General features: G+C 45.4%; 1 protein-coding gene across 13 annotated transcripts in view; it reads right to left on the bottom strand.

Annotated features, from left to right (window-relative positions):
* MYO18B (myosin XVIIIB) overlaps positions 1-13,525 on the bottom strand; it is a 321,660-nt gene that overhangs the window by 71,606 nt on the left and 236,529 nt on the right. The window lies entirely within an intron of this gene.

The following is a 13,525-nucleotide window of genomic DNA, read 5'->3' as shown; positions in this document are numbered from 1 at the left end:
TAAGTTCTCCGTGAGAGGCTCTCTCTGCGGACAGATTTATGGGATCCTCAACCAGGTGTTCCAAGTTTCATAGAGGAGGGAATAGATACTCCAGGGCATGGCACACAGAGCTTGCTCACCTGTGCAGGGGGTGCTGCTCCCAATGCATCTGACCCCAGGGCCATGCTCTGAATCTGCACCACCACGCACAGTGGATACTCAGCCCATCTTGGATGGAGGAGTAAACGTAAAAACCAAGAAGGGTCATGGAGTCTGGTTTAGGAAGCTGAGCCTCAAGGATAAATCTGGTGCAGGAGGTCATGGGGAGAACATAACAAAGATAGTTTCAAGTCTGTCCCCTAAACACCCCCACCTTGCTGTCCTCACAGCAGCAAAAGCAAAGATGAAAAACCCAGCTGGGCTCCCTCCAGAACAGGCAAGCGCGATGGGCATTTACGGAGCTCTTTCTGTGGCCAGAGCTGTGTTGAGTATTTTGCAGCCAGGATCTCACTCATGCCTCACAGGCCCAGCAGGTGAGTCTTTACTCTTCTCCCATTTCACAGATGAGGAACTGAGGCCTTAAGAAGCAAAGACTTCATGGCGGAGCTGGAACTCAAGCTCGGTGCCTCTGACGCCCCTCTCAGTGCTCATCTTCGTGATCAATACTTTCTGGTACTTTTCTAATTGGATTTTATCTGGACTCTTGGGAAAATCTCTGACTTTAATTTGCAACCTACACATTGCTACCCTTTAACACATAATGATTGTTACCTAAGAGTGATTTTGCCCCCCAGGGGACATTTGGTCATGTCTGGAGACATTTTTGGCAGTCGCAACTTGGGGAAATGCTGCTGGCATCTGGTGGGTAGAGGCCAGAGATGCTGTTCAACATCCTACAAGGCACAGGACAATCCCACAAAGAATTATCCGGCCTGAATGTCCACGGTGCTGAGTCTGAAACCCTGGGTGAGACCCAGCATCTAACCTCCTGGTAATTAATTCATCTTACGGGGGATAAATCAAGACACAGAACACAGCTCTATGCCCGAGGATGTTTGCAGCAGTGCTACTGATGACAAGGAGAGGCTGGGATCTGCCTCATCACCCAGCAATTGGGAATGGTTAGGGAAATCACAGTGTGTCACTTTGATGCTCTTAGGCAGACATCAACATTAGAAATAAGAATTGTGGCAGCGTGGAGTGCTTCTTTGAAATAACATGAAGCAAACGGAATAGATCCGAGCAGTATCATGCTCAAGTCTATGCAAATAACACTCATGGAGAATTGAGAATATTTATGGATGGGGCAAAGCGGGGTTATAGATGGGATTTTTCTTGTAACCGGCTCTAATTATGTAAAGTTTATTTTTGGACTGCTGTGTAAAGGAACATACATACCACCTGAGGACAGTGGGAGGGGAGAAATTTGAGGATGTGGGGTCAAAGCGCAATTCCCAGCTCCCCATGGAACTGAGTAGCTAAGTGAAAATGAATGGCTCACAGCCCCTCTCTTAGCCTGGAGTCTTTTTTTTTTTCTTTTTCTTTTTTTTTTTTTTTTTTTTTTTTTTTTTTTTTTGAGACAAAGTCTTGCTCTGTTGCACAGCCTGGAGTGCAGTGGCATGATCTCAGCTCACTGCAACCTCCACCTCCCGGGTCCAAGCAATTCTCCTGCCTCAGCCTCCCAAGTAGATGGGATTACAGGCACCCACGACCACACTTGGCTAATTTATGTATTTTTTAGCAGAGATGGGATTTCACCACGTTCGCCAGGCTGGTCTCGAATTCCTGACCTCAAGTGATTCACCCACCTTGGCCTCCCAAAGTGCTGGAATTACAGGCGTGAGCCACTGCACCCGGCCTCATTTTTCTTTATTTTGCAGATGAGGAAACTAAAGCCAGCAAGGTCAGTCAGCGAGGTCACTCAGGAAAGGCGCAGAGCTGGGATCTGAACCCTGGGCTTGGTGGCTCCCAGTCCAGTGCTCTTTCTGGGGCTATGACTGCATTCCCCAATGGAAGTCAGCGAGGACCATTACAGGGACACACTCAGCTCTCTGCACATTGGCTTGCCCATTCACATTATTGTAAGTCTGTGCCTTTCCAGTGTTTTCTGATTTTAAAGAGAGAGAGAGAGGCAGCAGGCAAAGACTGAGTAAGCCTAAGGGCCAGGTCAAGCTGATGAGAGGGAGAAGGGGTGGCGGGAAGGACGCCGTGGTGGTGGCATGAGAAGGAGCTGCCAGTCCATCCCAGTTGATTGAAGCCACCAACTGTGAAATCCCCATCTCAGCCTTGACAAGGTGAGAGACAACCCGAGGTTGGGGCCCCCAGGCTGTCAGAGGAAACAAAAGACACTGAGGGACTGTGAAGGAGGGGGTGCTCACCCCAGGACATCAGCATGTCAGCTCATAAATGCACCTAGAAAACAGCTAGGTGCAAAATCCCGGCAGCTTCTGGGAGCATCTGCCCAGGCTCCACTCTTTTTTTTTTTTTTTTTTTTTGAGACGGAGTCTCACTATCTCGGCTTACTGCAAGCTCCGCCTCCCAGGTTCAAGCCATTCTCCTGCCTCAGCCTCCCAAGTAACTGGCACTACAGGCACCTGCCACCACGCTGGCTTTTTTTTTTTTTTTTTTTTTTTTTTGTATTTTTAGTAGAGACAGGGTTTCACCGTGTTAGCCAGGATGGTCTTGATTTCCTGACCTCGTGATCCACCCGCCTCGGCCTCCTAAAGTGCTGGGAGTACAGGCGTGAGCCACCACGCCCGGCCAGCTCCACTCTGTTCTACTGGACCAGGACAACAGTGTCACTGGGCATTAGCCACTTTCTCCCAGATGTGGCACCTGTATCTTTGTAAGACACAGAGGCAGAAAAATCTGTATTTCTGTCTTAGATTCTATCCCAAGTCCACACATCTGGGCCATTGTGGGTTATGTGTTAAGTACAGTGAATCCTAAAAGCATTGGTTCAACGAATGTCTAACCAAATGACCTGTCTGAGGTCACGCCGCCGGGAGACCACAAAGCTGAGATGTGCATCCAGGTCTTGGGTTCTTAAGTGGGAACCCTTTAAGTCACATGTGCTGAGACATGAGAAAAGGGTACAGACATCCCCTCCTCGTTTTGCTTAGGTGAACCTTGCCCATGTCAGTGTCATGCAGGAGCAGCAAGGTGTACAGTCCACATCCTCAGGGAGCTTCCTGGAGGGTAGAGGAGAGAGACAGAAAGAGGCACAGTGTCTCAGGGATGGGTGGGCCTCGGCTGGGACTAAGCAAGTGGGCAGAAGAAATAGGAGTCTAAAATGAGTCAAATCCACAATATCATAAAAGTGAAAGTAGGCTCTGGAGCCGAGCTGCCGGGGTTCAAATCCCAACTCTGCTGCTCACTGGCTGTGTGACCTCCAGCAAGTTACAGAACCTCTCTGACCCTCAGTTGTCTCACTGGGGAAATGGGGCCAGTAGCAGACCCTCCCTCACAGGGCTTTTGCGAGGAGTAAATGAGCTTGGCAGAGTGGAAACTTGACCAACAGTGGCATAGCTATCCTTTAATTCTCATAGGAGAAGGAGTCTCAGGAAGAACAGTGTCATCCCCAGGTCACTGTGGAGATTTGCCAAGGTCACAAACCAAATAAAAACATTGGAATGCAGGACTCTGGCTCTGAAGATTTTTCACTATCCTACATAGAAAAGACATGAAAAAAACAAGGGCTGCATAGAAGGTGAGTTGGCTTAGACACAGCAAGAAGAGGTGAGAACCAGAAAGCCATCATTAGTTAGGCCAGAGTATGTGGACCAAGGACAGGGTTCGTGGATCTGCCACTACCTTCCACCCTCCACCATTGCCCCCTTGCCGCCCTCTGCATCCCATCCTCCATCTGCTAGGGAAGCATCAGACTCAGTGGGCGCACCCTGAGGAGAAAGCTTGGAGAAATTTAGTGTTGGTGTAATCAGCAATCAGCAAATCTTTCCTGCTTCAACTCCAAAACCAAATGGAGTCTGCTGATTGCAGAGACCATTTCATTAGGCTAAACAAACGCAGTGCCCCAAACAGTCTCCCTGGGGCAGATAATACAAGGCCCCAGCCAGAGACCCCTCCGGAGACACGGAAGGGATGCACAAGCAGAAGGGGAAGTGAGCCAGTGCCCCTCTCATGAAACAGGAAGTGGGCGGGAGGCAACGACAGCATCTGACAATCACGCTTGCTCGGGCTTGGCTCAGGGCTGCTCCATGAAAATGGGGTTGTGTGCTGAGGTCGATTGTGAGCTTAGTCTTCTCTGTTATTAGCTCTCTTTAGAGATTTGAAGCATGGAGAGAAATTGGGAGGTGGGGGATAATTAGGATACAAAATGATTTAGATAGTTAGATGCATAGATAGCAGAAATCCACTAAGATATACACCACATTCCCGGGATAATCTAAAACTACAATATAATGGTGTACACACTGTAGACAAACAACATCCATATATCCTGGTATATATTATATATTCATATATTATTCATTCATGCATACACGCATACATTTAATAAACATTTGTTGAGCACCTATGAGGCGCAGCACTGATCTAGGTGCCGGCAATACAAATAAAGTCCTCACTTCCACAGAGCTTATGTTCTTGCAGGGAAATCATCTGTATTACCAGTGTCTGGAACACAGGAGGTACTCAATACATGTTTGGGGATGAAATGAATGGTGCTATTGTATGACTATTAGTGGCGAATGAGGGAAGGATAAGGGATAAATTATACATTCTAATGCATACATAATATACATGATACATATGTAATATATGGAGGATATATATATCGTGTATACAGAGATCAGTACAATAATATGTAGAATGTAGATAATATGCATACTTGCCGACCTCCCCAGCATCACTTGAGAGAACTATGATTTCTTGTTAAACCCCCGGGCTACTCCCTCTGGAGCATATCACAGAGTTGCCCATGTGAGAAGCAGTTCATATGATAATTAATGGCTGCAATTAAAATCATCTCCTCTTGTGATGTTCAATTAGAGGCTAATATTTAAAACTGTTGTTTGTTGTTTGTTTTCTCTGCCCAGAGCATCTCAATCTTCAGAGGACCCTCTCCTCTCTGCAAATGGACAAGACTCTCATTTGTTAATTTCTGCAGCTCTGGAGGTTGCCTCTCAAACCTTCTGAGGTGTCTCCCAAGGCCCCCCAAAGTTAATTTCACCTGTGCCACACAATTTACACTATAGATCAGACTATCTCGAAACACTTTTGAAACTTGACGAAAATTCATCTTGTTGCTTTCTTCTGATTTAGCAAAGACAAGCAGAAAATGTTACAGAGCCTGGTGCTGAAAAAAATTACACACACATATGCTATTATAAATATATATAAACATGTATATATGCAAACGTGTGTGTACAATACATGCATGTGTAGATACACACCCAAATATTTCCAGCATCTGGCACATAGCATACCTAACAAATATTAAGGACGTATTTATTAGAATCTGGTTGCTGATTAGAATTAGCAAACAGCAATCCCTTCTGGCTTCAACTTGAAAATCGAATGGAGTTGAATTTTGCCTGTAACACGTACTTTATCCTATAGATCAGGGTATATCCTGAAACCTGATGAAAATAATCAAGTATTTTCATATCCTTAAATGTTTAACAAACCTTGAACATAATAAATACGTGTTAAATAAGTGAATATATTTAGATACATTTCTTGCATACACAGGCAGTCTGCTAAATGTTCAAAATATTTTATCTCATTTAATCTTTATTGAAACCCTCAGAGTCAAGTACTATAGAAACATAAAAAGTGAGCTGAGATTATTGCAACAAAGTGGTAGCAATGGCTATTATCTCTCTGTGGTAAGATATCAGGCAATTTTTACATTCCTTTGAGCACTCCTCAAGATTTTCTGTAAAGAATAAGAATTATCTTTATCATAGGCAAGTTAAAAAATATATACTTTATTCCTCTCTGATGCTATAATGAACAATCTCCTCATCCACCTGCTCCATGCTGAGAGGTAATCTTCATCACTTTGTCCTGTCCATTTTACAGATGAGCAGGCTGAGGCTCAGAGAGGTTAACTCATTTGCCTAGGGACACACAACCAAGAAAAGATCTAGAGCTAAGCTCAGGTCTCCTGACGGCAGTCCATGGCTCTGTCCAGCTTTGCTTCTAATTGTTCCTGTTTCATCCAATGATGCCAGGTGAGGGAATCTTTCCCAGAAAGAAAGGCTATGAGGAACTGCCATTGCTTCCTTCAAATTGTCCGAGGGTCACTTGCCTGGGAGAAATGAGGCTGACGCTGGAGGGTGTGAAGTGGGGGAATAAAAGCCCTGTAGGCTGGGCGGGGCGGCTCATGCCTCTAATCCCAGCACTTTAGGAGGCCGAGGAGGGTGGATCATTTGAGGTCAGGAGTTTGAGACAAGCCTGACCAACATGGTGAAACCCCAGCTGTATTAAAAATACAAAAAATTTAGCCGAGTGTGGTGGCATGCACCTGTAGTCCCAGCTACTCAGGAGACTGAGGCAGGAGAATTGCTTGAACCTGGGAGGCGGAGGGTGCATTGAGCCGAGATTGCGCCACTGCACTCCAGCCTAGGTGACAGAGCGAGACTCCATCTCAAAAAAAAAATAAAAATAAAAAACGCCCTGTGAATTGTGTTCCAGCAAGAGCTCAAAGGCCACACTGGTAATGGAGTGAGCATCAGCAGGTGGTGTTAAGCTCCACTTTGGGAAAGGAAAGAGTTGGAGTGGCCCTAAGAAAACCCAAATGTATGCCCAGTCTCCAGCAGGAATAACGACTGGGAAGAAGTTGGTCATCATTCTACAGGGTCCTTTCCTCATAATTATCCTGAAGATTCATTGCATTATTCTATTTTTTTCTTTTTCTTTGTTTTGTTTTGTTCTTTGAGAGTGAATCTTGCTCTGTCACCTAGGCTGAAGTGCGGTGGCACGATCTCAGCTCACTGCAACCGCTGCCTCCCAGGTTCAAGCAATTCTCCTGCCTCAGCCCCCCAAACAGCTGGGATTACAGGCACCTGCCATTATGCCTGGCTAATTTTTGTATTTTTAGTAGAGATGAGATTTCACCATGTTGGCCAGGCTTGTCTCTAACTCCTGACCTCAAGTGATCCACCCAGCCCCAGTATTATTCTATTTTTATGATGTGATAGCAGACACAGAGAGACTCATCAAAGGTCCCAAATTCATACAGCTAGAAAGTGACAGATTAAAAGTTGGGGCCTTCACAATTTCTAAAGGGTCAGCAAATACCCAACAATACCTCCTGTCCTTTTCTTCACACATGGCAGGCATGTCTAATCAATCATAGCAGAGACCCAAGCAATCAGGGGCTAGAATCCATTATCTCAACTCACCAAGCCAAGTGTTTCATTCCAGTGCTGTCCTGTGCTTCATCTGCCAGCATCGATCAGAACTCTCAACTCTGCTACACTTTTTTTTTTTTCTTAGAGATGGGGGTCTCACTCTCTTGCCCAGACTGGAGAGTGCAGTGGTACAATCACAGCTCACTGTAACCTTGAACTCCTGGGCTCAAGTGATCCTCCCATCTCAGTCTCCTCAGTAGCTGGGACTACAGGCATGCACCACTATGCCCAGATATTTATTATTATTATTATTATTTGTAGAAACAGGGTCCTGCTATGTTCCCCAGGTTGGTCTCAAACTCCTGGTGTCAAGTGGTCCTCCCTCCTTGGCTTCTCAAAGCTCTGGGATTACAGGCATGAGCCACCGTACCCAGCCTCTGCCACATTTTTAAATGATCCCAATCCTCCTAGAAATGGTATTCAAATCCTCAAAGAAGATATTTATATTAGTTAGTTGGTTCGCAGGTTTATTTCTCCTTAAAGATTGGTGAGTATTGTGTGGATCCGAGTGAAGCTGAAGCTAATCACACTTCCAGAGAGGCCCTGGTGAGTGGGGAGAGGGAGAGATGCAAACTGCTAACATCACAAACAGCAGGAACAGAACTGGCTTTGGAACAAGATGAACCCTGAAGCAGCTACGCAAATCCCAAAGAGTTACTAATCCTTTCTTACCTTCAGTTCCTCATCTGGTAAAATGACAGTACTGTATTATTCCTTGACAAAAGGTGTTACAAGGAACAAATGAAATAATGTAAAATTGTGTACACCTCACCTACCTAAATTGGTAGCACGTACTTGGTCCACAGGTTCCTATTTCCTTCTTTCTAAGTAAAGACACGGGAAATACGAGGGCTGCTGGTGTTTAGTGAGGACAACTTCATTTTTCAGAAAATGATGTCTAAGAATCTATTACTTGTTTTGTTGAAGCTGGAAGGATTTTACAGAATGCTTTGGGAAAGCCAGGAGAGATTAGCAACAGCAGGAAGGCACTGCCAACCTAGGGCTGGACAAAAAAGCCAAGGAGTTGGGCCATCCAATGGGAAGTGAGACCTCAATAGCGCTGCCCAGAGGAAATGGGCTTCATGGAGGAGGAGAGTCCCTGATAAGATCTGGATTAAAAGGAGGTACTGCTGCTTCCATGGATGCCTCAAGGCAGTGCCAAAGAAAGATATCCTGTCTTCTCCCTTTCTTTTGACCTTCAGGTGTCCATCACTGCCTTTCATTGGCAGAACCTACCAGAAGTCAAGGAAACCAGGAAATGTCCTTTTCTGTAATTCTACAGCAGAACAGAGAAGGGGTAGGAGTGGATCTGAAAGTGAACAGGCAATGACTGGCCCAGAGCTCTGAAGGATCCAGGATCATTTTAGGCTTCATTATTTCAGACAGACAACAGGGTTTTCAGTCCGTACAAATTCATCAAACTGTTCACTTACGTGATTTGCACACTTTTCCATGTCCATATTTTGAGGAAAAAGTTGTAAGACATCCAGAATTATGAATTTTTTTTTAATTTTAGAGACAGAGTTTCACCCTGTCACCCAAGCTAGAATGCAGTAGTGTGATCATAGCTCACTGCAGCCTTGAACTCCTGGGTTCAGATGATCCTCCTGCCTCAGCCTACTCAGTAGCTAGGACCACAGGTGCACATCACCACATCCACTTAGGTTTTTTCATTTTTTTAGAGATGGGGTCTCACTATGTTGCCCTGGCTGACCTTGAACTCTGGCCCTCAAGTGATCCTCCCATCTCTGCCTCCCACTGTTGGGATTAGAGGTGTGAACCACTGTGCTCGGCCACCAGAATTATTATTTTCAAGGCTGCAGAATCAAGTGCAGGATTACAGATCCCTATTCTGTACTAGTTATGTATTGCTGTATACTAGGTTACCCGAACACTTAGAGTTTTGAAATATCTAATATCATTTATTATCTCTCATGGTTTCTGTGGGTTGAGAATTCAGGAGTGGCTTATCTGGGTGGTTCTGGCTCAAGGTATTTGGCAGCGTGTATAAAGTCCTCCCAAAGATGTCTATGATCTAATCCGGCAACATGTAAATCCGTTCCCTTGTATGGCAAAAGGCATCTTGCAGATATGAGTATCTTAAGGATCTTGAGGTAGGGGGAGATTGTCCTGGATTCTCCAGGTAGTCCCTAAAATACTCAATCATAAGGGTCTTTGAAGATGGAGGCAAGGGGGTCAGTGGGGGAGAAAGCAGCAATGTGGATGTGGATGGAAGCAGAGATTGGAGTGGTGCATCCAGGAGCCAAGAAATGCTGGCAGACACTAGAAGCTAGAAGAGGCTGGAACAGATTGTCCCCTAGGGCCTCCAGAAGGCACCAATCCTGATGATACCTTAATTTTGAATGCCTTTGGACTCATCTTGGACATCTGATCTCTAGAGCTCTAAAAGAATAAATCTGTGTTGTTTTAAGATACTGTGTTAGTGGTTGCTTGTTGCAGCAGCAGTAGGGAATGAAGACAGGATCTATCGAAATGCCAGCCAGGGCTTTGGTTGTCTGCAGGCTTGACTGCAGCTGGAGGGTCCCCTTCCAAGCAGGCTCACTGATGTGGCTACTGGCTGGAGGCCTCACTTCCTCACTAGCTGTTGGCAGGAAGGCTCAGTTCTCTGCCTCGTGGATCTCCCACTGATGTGGTTTGGATCTGTGTCCCTGCCCAAATCTCATGGTAAATTGTAATCCCCAGTGTTGGAAGAGGGGCCGGCCTGGTGGGAGGTGATTGGATCATGGGGGTGGATTTCCCCTTTGCTGCTCTCATGTTAGCAAATAAGATCTCATAAGATCTGGTAGCACCTCCCCCTTTTCTCTCTTCCTCCTGCTCCAGCCATGTAGGGACCGCCTGCTTCCCCTTCAACTTCTGCCATGATTGTGCTTCCTGAGGCCTCCTTAGCCATGCTTCCTGTACAGCCTCAGAACTATGAGCCAATTACACCTCTTTTCTTTATAAATCACCCAGTCTCAGGTAGTTCATTATAGCAATGCAAGAACGGACTAATACACCCGCTGAGCTGCTTCAGTGTCCTCATGACACAGTGGATGGTTTTCCCATAGCAAGTGATCCAAGAGAGAACACAGCAGAAGCCAAATGTCTTTTTATTATGTATCTTTATGATCATTCTTTAGACACAGGGTCTCACTTTGTAGCCCAGGCTGGAGTGCTGTGGCACCATGATGGCTCACTGCAGCCACAAACTCCTGATCCCACGTGATCCTCCTGCCTCAGCCTCCTGAATACCTGGGACTACAGGCATGTACCATCACACCAGGCTAATTTTTTTATTTTTATTTTTGTAGAGATGGGGTCTTACTGTGTTGTCCAAGCTGGTCTTGACTTCCTGGCCTCAAGTGATCCTGCTGCCACCAAATGTCTTTTATAGCCTAACCTCAGAAAGGACAACCTATTACCAATGACATAATCAATATGTCACACAGAACAACTCTGATGCAGTATGGGAGGTGAAAACACTGGGGTGTGAATGCCAGAGACACAGATCACTGAGAACCATCTGGGAGGCTGGCTGTCACAGTAACATCAAAAGATCTTCACATTTGTCCCATCTCAATTGACTCCCATACCTACAAAGGAAGAACTTCTCATCTCGAGAAACACATCTGTTTATGAGTTGAATCATATCCCCAGAGAAGACAGGTTGAAGTCTTAATCCCCAGGACTTCAGAATGTAACTGTATTTAGAGATAAGGTCTCTACAGAGGTAATCAAGTCAAAATGAAGTCAGCAGGATGGGTCCTAATCCAATATGACCAGTATCCTTCTAAGGAGGGGAAACTTGGACACAGAGATACACTCAGAGGGAAGAGAATGTGAGGACACAGGGAGAATGTCACATAAAGATTGAGGATTAGAGTGATGTATCTAGAAGCCAAGAACATCAAAACTTTCCAGTGAACCACCAGAAGCTAGGAGACAGGCATGGAATAGTTTCTTTCCGAGGGCCTTTGAAGAGAGCATGGTCCTGCTGACACCTTGGTTTTTTGGACTTCCAGCCTCCAGAACTGTAGGACAATACCTTTCTGTTGTCTTAAGCCATGCAGTTGGTGGCACTTTGTTATACCTCCCCTAAAAAACTAATACAACACCACGTGCTCTTTTCTTTCTCTTTTAAACACCGTTGCTTTGCTTTTCTGTTTCTAATAGCATTCACTATAGAGAATGTAGAACATTTAAAAAGTGACAAAAGAAAACTTTGAAAATCATCCTTAAATCTATTACTTGGGGACAACTGCTTTTCATGAATATGTTGGTGTATTTCCATCCTGTGTTGATTTCTGCGTATGAGTATAGATAACATCTATTTGACTCACGCTCAGGTAAAACACTTGTATATTAAAGGCAGAATGGAGTTGGCTCTGCAGCCAAGCAGGGGACTCTATGGAACTGTACACCACCCAGCTTTCCCTGCCAGGATTCTCCCTTATCTTCAGGCAGAAGGGCTTGCTGCTCCAGGCACCTGCTTCTGGTCTTTCCTTTCTCTTCTTATTTTTCAACCTGATGGTTTTAAAATGCCCTCAGCTGTTGCCTGAGGGTCTTTATAGCTTTCTGGAAAGTTAACATTTAGGCAACTTGAGTTGTTTAAAATGTAGATGATAAAGAGTTTGCCTGCAGAATGCCTAAGTCGGCTGCACTACTGTGTGCATTCACACATCCCATGAGCATCTCTGGACACACATGCCAGATACCAGGGGCCAAAACGGAGTCTTGGAGCATGAAGTCACCTGGTAAAGATTGCTCAGTCACGGGGTGGCAGAGAAAAAACTACAACCTGGGAGTTTCCTACCCCTGTCCTCTCTCTCTTATCAAGTGCACCCCTCTCTCCATTTCATCCACTTTAGATGGATCATTTCTGCCTGGACATCATTCCAGCTACTTCAGTAATCATAGCGCCAGGGACTGGAGCTTCAATGGTGAGGAAGGGGCTTTGTACTTGGTTCTTGGAGTCCCTGATGGATGGGGAGGAGTGGATGGCACAGACTCCTCAAGACCTTATCACACAGGGATGGAGAAGGTGGCTAAGGCTCTCTTGGGGCATTGGGATGGAGAAGGGGAAGGGAAAGGGAGGAGGGATCAGGCTTCAAGGCACGCAACTCTACCTTGGGTTTTTCAGTCGCAAGGTTTGCAAATAAAAATTTTAAAAAGAAATCTCTCTAAAGTTCCTTAAAGCTCTTGCTATTCAGAGCTCCTAGCTTTCCCATCCCTAAAAATCCTCTCCAGCCTATGACTTCCGATGCAGCATCCTCAGAAAGGGGCAAAGAATAGCCATCATGGGACCCCAACAACCTTCTCAAAGTTGATACCAACTGAGCAGGGGATTCACAAAACCCCCAGATGCAAACAGACATCCTGACCTGGGGTAAACTCCAAACGCCCCAATCCCAACTTCCCAGAGTCAACCACCCAGTTGCTCTCTGAATAAAAAAGGCATTTCATTTTTCTGCTCAAACACAAATATGACATATCTGTGCCACCCAATTTTCCTGACAGGGGAATAATTATATCAACATAATTAAGTCTCAACTGCAAAAATTATCTGCACCGCATATACTGACACTACACTTCCCACATCATACTGCCATTGTTCCAGCTGGTAATTACTAAGCCACCTTTGACATGTCTTATTTCAATTTAAATGGAAATGCAGCTCATATTTCTTCTCAGCCCACTAGCCCACGTGATTGCAGAAATAGGGAAAATGGACTTTGAAACTTCTCAAGTGGCCACTGGATTTTGTCTCCAAAGAAGTGTAGCGTGGGAACAATTTATAGCTTACCCTGGATCCCTTCTCTAGGCCTCAAGTACCTCATCAATACAATCTCTTGCATCTTTCCTCTGCTCTCTGTTATCTTTTTATAAATTTAGTCTTCATCATCATCTCCTAAAGATTCAGATAGTTCTTTTTTTATGGAGACAGAGTCTTGCTCTGTTGCCCAGGCTGGAGTGCAGTGAAGCAATCTCGGCTCACTGCAACCTCTGCCTCCCAGATTCAAGCAATCCTCAGCCACCCGAGTAGATGGGACAATAGGCGCCCACCACCACAACCTACTAATTTTTGTATTTTCAGTAGAGACAAGGTTTTGCCATGTTGGCAGGGCTGGTCTCGAACTCCTGACCTCAGGTAATCCACCTGCCTCAGC

Source organism: Homo sapiens, chromosome 22 (genome assembly GCF_000001405.40).
Source record: "Homo sapiens chromosome 22, GRCh38.p14 Primary Assembly".
In the NCBI taxonomy this organism is placed as follows: domain Eukaryota; kingdom Metazoa; phylum Chordata; class Mammalia; order Primates; family Hominidae; genus Homo; species Homo sapiens.
This window is presented reverse-complemented; position numbering and strand designations above follow the sequence as displayed.